The 12,009-nt window shown below is 54.9% G+C and overlaps 1 protein-coding gene across 6 annotated transcripts in view; it reads right to left on the bottom strand.

Moving 5' to 3' along the window:
* DNAJB6 (DnaJ heat shock protein family (Hsp40) member B6) overlaps positions 10,383-12,009 on the bottom strand; it is an 80,436-nt gene continuing 78,809 nt past the window's right edge. For all 6 annotated transcript variants that reach the window (NM_058246.4, XM_006715823.3, NM_001363676.1 and 3 more), the window contains one exon: positions 10,383-11,806. In NM_058246.4, coding sequence (NP_490647.1) covers positions 11,724-11,806 — 83 coding nt within the window. In that variant the 3' untranslated portion in view covers positions 10,383-11,723. The remainder of the gene's footprint in view (positions 11,807-12,009) is intronic.

Genomic DNA, 12,009 nt, shown 5'->3' with positions numbered 1-12,009 from the left:
GGAGATCCGGGACAGGTCCACCCAGGCGGGTCCCCAAAGCAAACTGCACCACACATGGTAGCTTCTCTGGAGGGAAAGGATGACTCAGTTTTTTGAAGGTGTGTTTTCCGGCCGGGCGCGGTGGCTCACACCTGTAATCCCAGCACTTTAGGAGGCCAAGGCAGGTGGATCTCTTGAGGTCAGGAATTCAAGACCAGCCTGGCCAACATGGCGAAACCCTGTCCTACTAAAAATACAAAAATTAGTCGGGCATGGTGATGCATGCCTGTAGTCCAAGCTACTCAGGAGGCTGAGACATGAGAATAGCTTGAACCTGGGAGGCGGAGTTTGCAGTGAGCTGAGATCACGCAACTGCACTCCAGCCTGGGCGACAGAGAGAGACTGTCTAAAAAAAAAACATGTGTTTTCCACTGCAGGTTTGAATCTGGGTCAAAACACCTCTTAAAATCCTCCATTATCACAGTTATTTACTCAAATAAAAGCCGCACAAGGCAAGATTTGCCCTTTTGCAGGGAGGAGGCAGGCCAGGGGAAGTGGTGTGTTCCCCGGAGACCCCCATCAGCAAGCTGGGCACAGTGAGGCGGCCCAGCGCCTGCGAGCCACAGGGAGCCCTGGAGTGCGCTAGCCAGCTCTGCACCCTCATCCTGTGTGAACCCCCGACGACTGCCTGCATGACTGTGGGAGCCCCGGGGAGATATGTCCCTGCCGGGCCCGGGAACGAGGGTGGCGGGGGCCCAGGGACCTCACGGCCACCCCAGCCCCCCGTCTGCCACTGTGCGACCTGGTTGCCAGGCACCAGTCGTGGAAGCCAGCGCAAGGCAAGAGGACCCCTGGGAGCTCGTCCAGTCACAGGAGGGAAGGGGTGGCCTCGGAGCCAGGCAGAGGGGGAACCCACACAGTCGCTTCCAAGACTGTGCCCCAGCTCGGCTTCTGGCGGGGGCTGCCCAGCTCAGTACCAGACTCCTGGGACCTGTGCTGCCCCTACGGGGTCCAGGCCATGCCACCATCCTTCCCACGACATCCAGGAAGCTCCGCCCTTGATGGACCCTGAGGGACGAAGGCTGGTCCCCACTGCCAGCCAGGTGCCCCACCTCGCTCTCCCTCCTTCCCCAGCCGCGTCCTTGGGCCGTGTCCGTCTGCTCCAGGTGACCGGCCTGGCCTCCCTGTCCCTGCTCGCCACCAGCTGGGAGGGGGCTGCCGAGTCTCAAGACAGCTCCTGGGCCCCTTCCCTACAGAGAGGTTCGTCCCCACCACCCACCGCCTCCTCTCGGGCCAACCTTGACCGCTGCCTGGTCCTCAACGTTCTCGGTCAGGAGAACCCAGAGGTGAAGGAACCCAGAGGCGGCGGAGGTCCTGCCCAGGGGAGCAGCATGGAGGGGCGGGCCGTGGGCAGCCAGACGGGCACCAGGCTCCCACCCGCAGAGGAGGCGACGGGAGCCTGTCCCTGCACTCTCAGTTCTGTTGTCCATTGCTCTGTCTGGGGGCTGTTACACAACTCTCGGCTAAGCCTCATCTTTTTATTTTTTAATAATTTTGTATTGTGCTAAAATACATGTAACAGGAAATGTACCATTTTCCCCATTCCTAAGTGCACAGTTAGTTCCACGGCATGAAGAGCTGCTTGGTGTCCATCACCATCATCCATCTCCAGAACTTCCCATTCCCTAAACTGAAACTCTGTCCCCAGTAAACCAACTCCCCAGCCCCTCCCCAACCCCTGGCACCCCCACCATTCGACTTTCTGCCTCTAGGAATCGGACGGCCGTGGGACTCCCTGTGAGTGCAAGGACACAGCGCTCATCCTTTCCTGACTGTCGGGTCTCACCGTGTCCACAGGGCGGGTCTCACCGTGTCCACAGGGCGGGTCCACGGGCAGCACATCAGAGCCCGTCCTCTGGAGGGCTGAACGCAGCCCCACTGCGCAGGGAGCACATCCATCTCTGCACCCGCACACGGGATCCACTCCCTCCCCAGCTGCCATGGCCAGTGCCGCTGTGAGCACGTGAGCACAAACATCCGGCTGAATTGAGCCTCATCATAGCCTATATATTCCCCAAAATAAGAAGGAAAAAAAGTATTATTACAGAAAAGAAAGGGGAAAGTGAGCCGGCACTCACCCAGCCCAACCTACCCTCACCTGGGCTCCACCCATGCCCCCACCTCTGTCAACCAGACAGGAGCAGCCCTGGGAAGCCCCGGCCCCGCAGCGTCTGTGGATAGGCCCTGGGACACTGCACCCAGGCAGGGTCCAGACGGGGGAGCCCTCTGCCCTGGACACTGCACCCAGGCGGGGCCTGAGAGCAGGGAGCCCTCTGCCCTCTGCCTCTGCTTCCTGCCTGATCCACGTGAGCGCAGGGAGAAGCACAGTGGCTTGGAACAGGGAGAGGGCAGAGGCAGGAGAGTGGCAGACGCCACGTGCTGCTCCCAAGCAAGCGGGTGGGGGGGCCGAGGCTCTGCAGGTCTGGGTGTCCGGAAGTCACCTGCCAGCCGGGCTCTCCCTGCAGCACCCTTGAGGGAGGCCTAGGGGCAAAGCAGGCTGGACCCCACAGCAGAGGCGGGCACAATACTAACTGGGCTGCCTGGGACCCACGTGCCAGTCAGCCAGGGCCCTCTGGGCTCACAGGGGGCTCCGTGCTCCTGAGTCTACTTCACAGGCAACAGCGGTGGCCTTCACCCCTCTTCTCTGCAAAGCCCACTGCCCTTCACTGCCTCCCCCTGCCCTGGGCCAGCAGGTGCTTGGGCCAGTCTAGGGGAGAGAGGCTCCCGGGGTGTCTGGGTGAGCGCTGCCCCTGTATGGGTGGGGCCTGAGCTCAGGGCGCTCAGGTAAGGGTGGAACCCAGGTGCACCCTCCCCCAGCTCAAGGCAGGGTCTCAGGACAGACTGCTGACCTGGGGTCCCACTGTGCGTGCGTCTACCTCAGGCTCTTCCCTCCACCCTCCAGGATGAAAGGCCTCGGGGTTGCTGACACTCCCCTTGGCCTCTAGCCTCGGGGTTCCGGGGTGGACCCAGATACCCGCCTCATTAGGAGGCAGCGTTGTGGAGAGAAGTGGAGAACAGGCATCAGTGTGCATCTTTGTTTGTTTGTTTTAGAGACAAGGCTCACGGTGTCTCCCACGCTGGAGTGCAGTGGCACGGGTGAGACTCACTGCAGCCTCGAACTCCTGGTCTCAGGGGATCCTCCCGCAGTGCTGGGATGACAGGCACGAGCCACTTCTCCCGGCCTAGGCGTGGATCTGAAGCTGCAGGTCAGGTCTCTCTTCTCCCTGAATTTGGGTTTTGTAAACCAGGCACCACCTGCCCGGCTCTGAGAGGCAGCCCTGGTCCCTGCCTGCTTCCTGTCCAGGTGAACGGTAGGCTGGGCTGCACCTCCCCTGGCTAGGGGGTTCTGGCCCTGGGCTTTGCACCTACACAGCACAGCAGTGACAGTGGCAGCCCGCTCTGTCCTCTCCTGAGAAGAAACGAAGTCAGCACGGGGAGAAACCCAGGACCGCCCAGGGATGGCGAGGGCCTGCCCTTGAGGAGTCCCCAGGGCATCACCGCCCCCTGGTCTGGGCTCAGAACAGCAGCGCCTCGCCAGGAACACTCAAACCCCAGCGACGAGGGGCCCAAGGCACCCAAACGCGGGAAGTCCATCTTTCCCGGGGTGCTCCCATCCCCAAATAACCTCCGGGAATCCCACGGGTGCTCACCCAGCCCAACTCTCCCCACGCCTGCCTGCCAGGACAGCGTCTAGAGCCCAGCCCCTTGGCGCCCTCGCCCTCTGAGATGCCCAACAGCCCTGCAGCCGCGTGGGTGGCCTCGTCAGGACACACAGGGCCCCCACACGGCTGAGGCCTCCCACCAGCGCCAGCCATGTCCACGCCTCGCTTGCCAAGAACCACGATTGTGGCCCTTCCTCAGTGCAACCGAAGGGCTCGCCTGGGAGGGTTCCAGATGCAGGAGAAAACTGTTTTGCCAAATAAAAAAAACTGTCAGAAACCTCTAAAATATGAATCTAGGGACGCCTTCCAGGCACCCTGCTCTGTCCACAGCCAGTGTGGGCTGCAGGGGAGCTGCCCTGACCAACCTGATGGAGGGCAGGACCCCTCTTAAGGACCAGGGCAGGCAGGGGGAGGAGTGCGGGTGCGTAGAAGCTCGCAGGGATGAGCGCTCATCTGACCTTTGACCTGGCCATCCCACTTCTGGGAATCCGCCCCAAAGACAACAGACAAGTCCAGGAAGGGACCCTGTGGGACCCTGTAGGAACAAGAACCTCCCCAGAAGTGGCAAAAAAATAAAACAGGATTTCCGCCTGCAGGAAGTCAGCCCGCAGGAGTAAGAACGGCACTGGGCTGTGATGAAGTCATCTCGGTACAAAGGAATTCTGTGCCACGAAAATATTCATGGAAATATTTCCTGATGCGATGTCTTTCCCAGCATATCGTTGGGTAAAGCACAGACTGCTGTGTGTCCACCAAGACAAGGTCTCCAGGTGGCAGGGATCATTTCTTTGTTTTCATATCTGCATTTCTGGTTTTTCTACCAATGATCAGGTATTCCCTGTATGTTGATTTTACTTCCAAAATTTAGGAATAAAATATTTAAAGTTAATAAAGTGAGTGCCTCTTCTCCAAGCAGACGGTGACCTCCTCCTTCGAATGCTCCCTGGTGACGCAGCTTTCTCTTGGGGCTTGGCCCTCAATGTACTCCAGTTAATTAATACTTTTCATCTGGGGTAGAAGGTACATTTCAGTACAAGCAAATGCCCAGTCAATAAGGGAAGACTTTTTTTTTTAGATAGGGTGGTCTCACTCTGTTGCCCAGGCTGGAGCACAGTGTCATGATCACAGCTGGGTGTACGCGATCCTCCCACCTCAGCCTCCGAGTAGCTGGAGCTACAGGTGTGTGCCACCACACCCGGCTAACTTTTTTATGTTTTTTGTAGAGACAGGGTCTCACTCAGTTGCCCAGGCTGGTCTGGAACTCCTGGGCTCAAGGGATCCTCCTGCCTCAGCCTCCCGAAGTGCTGGGATGACAGGCATGAGCCACCGTGCTCAACTCGGGAAGGCTTCTTTTCGGAAGACATCAAGCTGATAAAGGCAGGATGAGTAACAGGATGAGGAGGCCGGCGTTCTGCAGCCACTCACGAATGGTAGTCCAGACCCCAGATGCCGCTGCATAGCAAGGCAGCGGGAGATGAACGAGCTACCAGTCTCTGAGAGTGGAAGGGCCAGCACAGAGGTGAGAGACCCTCCACACCCTGGAGGAGCATGGCCCCAGCACCCCTACGGTGACTGCACTCAGCGTCTCCAGCAGGACCGCCAGGTGCGCACGGGGCTCCGCCACACAGGAGGAGGTGCCCGCGTCTCCTGCCCCACGCACGGGTTGTGCTGGGCCCAGATGTGTGACTGCAGGTCCTACGGCCCCCAGGACCTGCACAGGGGGCAGAGGATCCAGGTGAGCAACTCGGGGCGGGGGCAGGGGCAGGTCCGGAATGCGGCAGGTCTGCCGGTGAGGCGCACGGCCCTCCAGACGCCCAGGAAGGAAAAGCAAAGGCGGGAGTGAAGGATCGCCTCATGTTTATTTAAATATTATGTAATTAAGTTATAAATAAAAGTAACTTTTGTTTATGTTTAATGTATTGAAATGGAAGGAAATAAAAACAAATGGAAATGAAAGCCCATTGGGGCAGGTGCGGAAGCCGGACTCCCCTGAGGGCGCCTTGTTTGTGAATTCTGCTTTGGAACCATGCACATATTTACAGCAAACATTTCTTAAATCCTAGACGTTGAAAGTAAAAGAAAATAAATGAAGCTAAGGGTCTACGGAGTTGTTGGCTTAGCCACACCAAGAGGGATTATCTCAAGATTTATGCATCCCAGTGTCACAGCCTGAGAACAACCATGGGGCCGGGCGCGGGGGCTCACCCCTGTCATCCCAGCACTGGGAGGCCGAGGCGGGTGGATCACCTGAGGTCAGGAGTTCGAGACCAGCCTGGCCAACGTGGCAAAACTCCGTCTCTACTAAAAATACAAAAATTAGCTGGGCGTGGTGGTGCATGCCTGTAATCCCAGCTACTCGGGAGGCTGAGGCAGGAGAATCGCTTGAACTGGGAGGCGGAGGTTGCAGTGAGCCGAGATCGCACCACTGCACTTTAGCCTGGGCGACAGAGCGAGACTCCGTCTCAAAAAAAAAAAAAAAAAAAAGAAAGAAAGAAAGAGAAAAAGGATCGAAGAGCTCTCTCTGAATTTTAAAAATTTTTTTAAATTTTTAAATTATTATATTTTCTATATATCAAATTTTCTATATGTCAAATAAGTAACTATGTTATGTATTAAGAACTAAAAATCTGGCTGGACGTGGTGGGCTCACACCTGTAATTCCAGCACTGTGGGAGGCCGAGGCGGGTGGATCACCTAAGACCAGGAGTTTGAGACCAGCCTGGCTGATATGGTAGAATCCCATCTGTACTAAAAATACAAAGTGAGCCGGGCGTGGTGGTGGGCACTTGTAATCCCAGCTACTCGGGAGGCTGAGGCAGGAGAATCACTAGAACCCGAGAGTTGGAGGTTGCAGTGAGCCGAGATCACACCACTGCACTCCGGCCTGGGTGACACAGCGAGACCATCTGAAAAAAAAAAAAAAAATTCAAATTCTCAGAGTAAAAGAAAAAAATCTGATATAAAATCTAAATAGTGAAAACCCTGTAATCCTAAATTTGAACTGGAAATATTAATATAAATTCTTTATATTATATATCCTAATATGAATTTTCTCTTTAAAAAATACTCTCTCCCTCCGTCCACAGAGGCAGCCTTGGGGTCTCCAGGCAGGACCCAGAGCAGCCGAGGCCCTGAGGCCAGCACGAACTGCAGGCACCGAGGAGTCTGTCGCCCCAGGATGCGGCCATCCGAGCTTCCAAGGGCAATGGCCTCAACCGTGAAACACCACAAGTGCGATCACAGCTTGTGGGCTCACGATGGAACTAACAGAGCCGCTGGTCACCTCGGGGTCCTCGGAGGAGCCAGGGAGCCAGCCAGTGGCTCTAGACACTGGGACTCGGGAAAAACAAGAATGTGCGGGGCCTTTTGAAGCAGAAACTGTACCTCTGGGACCCAAGCAGTGGATAAGGGAAAATCCGTCTTTACAGAATTCCAGCTAAGAAATTTGGAGGAAAGGCAGGTCAGATATTGACAGATGAAGTCATGCATAGCCCAGGACTTACTTCAAAACATGATGGCGGGTGCGGTGGCTCACGCCTATAATCCCGGCACTTTGGGAGGCCGAGGCAGGTGGATCACTTGAGGTCAGGAGTTCGAGACCAGCCTGGCCAATATGGTGAAACCCCCGTCTCTACTAAAGATACAAAAATTAGCCGGGCACGGTGGCGGGCGCCTGTAGTCCCCACTACTCCGGAGGCTGAGGCAGGAGAATCGCTTGAACCCAGGAGGCAGAAGTTGCAGTCAGCCGAATCACACCACTGCACTCCAGCCTGGGCCACAGAGCAAGACTCTGTCTCAAAACAAAAACAAAAACAAAAAAACATGATGGGGAGGGGGTGCAGATACACAAGAGGGGCGGGCGCTGTGCACCTCTGGGCCAGGGAGAGGGATTCATTTCTACAGTTACCTGTTCCAAGCACACAATTTGGACATTAAGATTTTTCATAATAAAAGGTAAAAGCGTACAGAGACCTAATACACGTGACGACTAAATGCAATGTGTAGTCTTGACTGAAGTCTAGTTTAAAAACATCACAGCCCGGGGAGACTGATTTGAGTAACAATAAAACTCCAGTCTCCTGCAAAAAAAAAAAAAAAAAAAACAAACAAAAAAATTACGGGCCAGGCACAGTGGCTCACGCCTGTAATCTCAATACTTTGGGAGGCTGAGGCAGGCAGATTGCTTGAGCCCAGGAGTTTGAGACCAGCCTGGATGATATGGTGAAATCCTGTCTCTATAAAAAATTTAAAAATTAGCCAGGCATGGTGGTACAGCTGTAGCCCCAGCATGTTGGGAGGCTGAGGTGGGAGGATCGCTTGAGCCCAGGAGATCAAGGTACAGTGTGCTATGATTGAACCACTGCACTCCAGCCTGGGTGCCAAAGTGAGACTCTGCCTCAAAAAAGAAAAGAATAAAAGTAAATAGTTTCTGAAAATGGACTGAGAAGTAGCTGGCATGGGGGAATTACTAATTTTCTGAGGTGTGATAACGGTGCCACGGCTCTCCCGCCTAGGTGACGGAGTGAGACTCCATTGCAAAAAAACAAACAAACAAAAACAAAACAAAATGTGTTAAACACAGGTGTGGTTATTCACGTCATGGTCCCACTTTTCCAGGCCTATGAACAAAAGAGCAGAGAGCTCTCCCTGGTGACGGCGCCACGTCCTGGTTCTGTCTCCAGCTGTGCAACCCACATGAGGGAAGGCACGTGGGACCCCCAGGTTAGGGTTAGGGTGTGAACGTTTCAGGATGTTTAAATGTATTTACTTACAGAAAGTGGGTTCTGCAGCCCTTTATGCCCCTGACAAAAGTGAATGGCGTACAGGGTGGCCCTGGGATTGGCAGTGGGGTGGCCAGGAAGCCCCACTGTGGTCCTGACACCCCCAGGACTCCCCACCCCAGTCCCACAACTGCAGTCCCTGCCACACCGTCCACAGCCCCCCTGCCTCCCACCCACCAGCACCTCACTGCCTTCCCCACCCCCCGCAGGGCCCCCCAGTGCTTGGGACGTCACAAAGGTGACGACGACAGGTGCCGCGCTCCCCCTTGCCATCATCTCAGCAGCTGCCGAGCACACCCAGGGGCCGGGCTCCCTCTCCACCCCCTCAGCAGACGCTGGCATAAGCAGCCGCGGGCTCTATCTGCAGCATCCACCCCCTCAGCAGACGCTGGCATAAGCAGCCGCGGGCTCTATCTGCAGCACAGAGCTCCTGGACCCGCCCTAGGGGGATGGGGCGCTGGGCGCAGGGGTCGGGTAGACCCCAATACCCCTCCTCACCTGAGAAGCAGATGCCTACCTGCTGGCCATGCACCTGCCGGGCCCCATGGACACCAGCTCCCTTCTCCTCCTGGGGTCGGGGTCTCTCCCTCTCAGCGAAGGGAGGACCCACCTGTGACATGAGCTGACTCGGTAGCCAGGCCGTGTGAAGACGGGGCTCTGGCCCCTTTGCCAAGAGCCTGTCTTGTGTGTGGCCTGGCTTGTCTGGAAGGCGCTCGCGGCTCTGTCCACGCTCCCTAGCTGTGCCCCTGCTGAGGCAGCCCGGCCACGCTCCTGGGACGGCCTGAGGGTCAAGTGGGCAGGGTTGAGGGCACAACAGTCACCTCTAAACCTGTCGAACCACCTGCCTCCCTCGCCACAATCTCAGCAGCAGATTCTGGGATCTGAGCAGTTGAGAAGGACTAATCTTGTTTTAAAAACACCCCCGACCCCGGCCCGCAAGGCGACTTACTGCACCGCCTTCCCCTGTCACCAGGAAGGCCGGACGCCAGGATGTCAGCACTGAGCGCGTGTCTGGCCCAGTCTTGGTCGCCAGCAGAGCCAGGGTGAGTCGACGAGGTTTTCCTCTCGGGACCCTCAATGCCTCCTGTGAAGGCTGCGGGAGTTTCCACCTCATCTGTGCGTTGGGGTGTTACTTTTTTGTTGTTGTTGTTGTTTTGAGATAGAGTCTCGCTCTCTCTAGAGTGCCGTGACGCAATCTGGACTCATTGAAAGCTCTGCCTCCCGGGTTCACGCCATTCTCCTGCCTCAGCCTCCCAAGGAGCTGGGACTACAGGCACCCGCCACCACGCCCGGCTAATTTTTTGTATTTTTTAGTAGAGACGGGGTTTCACCGTGTTAGCCAGGATGGTCTGGATCTCCTGACCTCGTGATCCACCCGCCTCGGCCTCCCAAAGTGCTGGGATTACAGGCGTGAGCCACCGTGCCCGGCCTTTTTTTTTTGAGACGGAGTCTCGTTCTGTCTCCCGGCTAGAGTGCAGTGGTGCGATCTTGGCTCACTGCAAGCTCCGCCTCCCTCGTTCAAGAAATTCTCGTGCCTCAGCCTCCCGAATAGCTGGGATTGTAGGCGTGTGCCACCACACCCGGCTAATTTTTTGTATTTTTAGTAGAGATGGGGTTTCACCATGTTGGCCAGGCTAGTCTTGAACTCCTGATCTCAGGTGATCTGCCCACCTTGGCCTCCCACAGTGCTGGGATTACAGGCGTGAGCCACTTTGCCCAGCCGGGGGTGTTAGCTTTAAAGTCATGTTTTCGCCTTACAGTGACGCATTTCGGAAGCAAGGCTTCTGCCTGCAAAACACCACTTTCATCCTTTGTAATCGTAATGTTGAAGAATTGCTTTTATTTCTAGTCAGTCTTAACGGTGCAACTTACTGGCGCTTACAAAGGACAGCAGGCGAGCTGTATTCAATATGCTTATGTTTTATTTATGTAGGTGGCATTTAAAATACATGATGTGTTTAGGGTTACATTGTCCACAGAAAGCATCAAATACCACTCCTCTCCCCGCCAAAACCAAATAAACAAAGCCAACTCTTTGGCAACAGTTGTGTTAAATAAAATCCCAGGTCACACTTGTTTCTGGCTCCCAAGCCTGGGTCACTGCTACATGGATTGCGCCAAAAAATTCCCAGCTTCAACACTGCTAGATTAAAATTGCTGGCATTTTTAAATCACAGCAAAGCTTTTCACAATGCCCTCAAGTCCAAGAGGACAAAGGAGAAAGCAACATGAACGGCAGATCCTCATGTGAAAGGGAAGGAAAGTCACTGGGAGGGAGCATGCAGGGAAGAAGTCAAGGCAGCCCTGGAATTCTACTCCGTGCTCAATAAAAACAAAACGTGAAGAAGCAATACATCATGCAAACGAAATAATGACCGGAAGTGGGCGCATCTAGTTAGAATGAAGTGACTTTCGTAAGGAGTCAATGTTCGCGAACTGAAACATGAGTTCAACCTCCTTGTGCCGTCTCTGGGTGTTTTGCGCGTGTGTAAATACCGGCCCGTTTTCCCCAGCATGGCCCTAACCCATGGACACTAGGGAGAGTGCCACTGAGCAAAAATTTTTTGCTAAAAATAATTAGCAAAAATCCAAGAAAAAAATATGGAATCTAGCAAAACCTACACCATATTTGAAGTTGAATTTGCACTACCTGCAAAGGATGAAAATTAAAAGAGTAAACAGAAGGAATGATTTTACATCTGATGTGATTCACGACAGCCTTCTATTCGTGTGGCCGGATTGCTCTGAGGAAAAGGTGCCCTGACGGGCAGGATTCAATGTGTCACTTGCAATATTCTCTAAGTTACACTCTACTGAATTACCTTCTAATTCCAAACACTACGCCGCCACAGAAAGCCTCATTTCATGAATGTTACTCAGTTAGCCATCTGCGCCCTCCTGTACTTCTAAAGCCAGAAATATTCCAGCAGCATGCGGAGTGGTTGAGTAGCCGAAAAGAATGAAGAGGATCCGGAAGCACTAGAGGAAAATGCAGCAGATTGAGAGCTGGAGAGAAGCAGAGAGTCGCGGCCAAGTCCCAAACGTCTGTCCCCGCCACCCGTGCCGTCAGCCCCGTCTCCTGACCCTGCTCTGACTGATCCGTGATCGCATAATCCTGCCGAGCGAGTGTGGCCTCGAGACAGTCCTGACCGACGCTGCTACCTAGCGCGTGTGCACGACCGCATGCCGAGCACGGTGGAGCGCCAGCGTCTGGGGGTGCACCGCGTGCCTCAAGTCCGGTCTAGTGATTGCCTTTGGTCGACTTCTTCTTCTTCGACTCCTCTCTCTGCTTCTGCTTCTTCCTCTTGCCACCTTCTTTCAATCCTAAGGAAACACGGCTTGTAAAACACTGTACGGAACAGCACTGCTTCCCCAGCAAGAGCCAAACATGTTTTCTAAATATCTCCCCATGTTAAGAACAAAAAGCAACAAAATGAAGTCATCTATCTTGGCCACAGCTAAACCTCAAAACGGGCGCTTTCCAAGGTGCACGTTGAGAACTGCTCACACTACCCAGAGAGCTTCAC

This window comes from Homo sapiens, chromosome 7 (genome assembly GCF_000001405.40).
Source record: "Homo sapiens chromosome 7, GRCh38.p14 Primary Assembly".
NCBI lineage: Eukaryota > Metazoa > Chordata > Mammalia > Primates > Hominidae > Homo > Homo sapiens.
The sequence above is the reverse complement of the archived record's forward strand: the minus strand, read 5'-3'. Positions and strand labels throughout refer to the sequence as shown.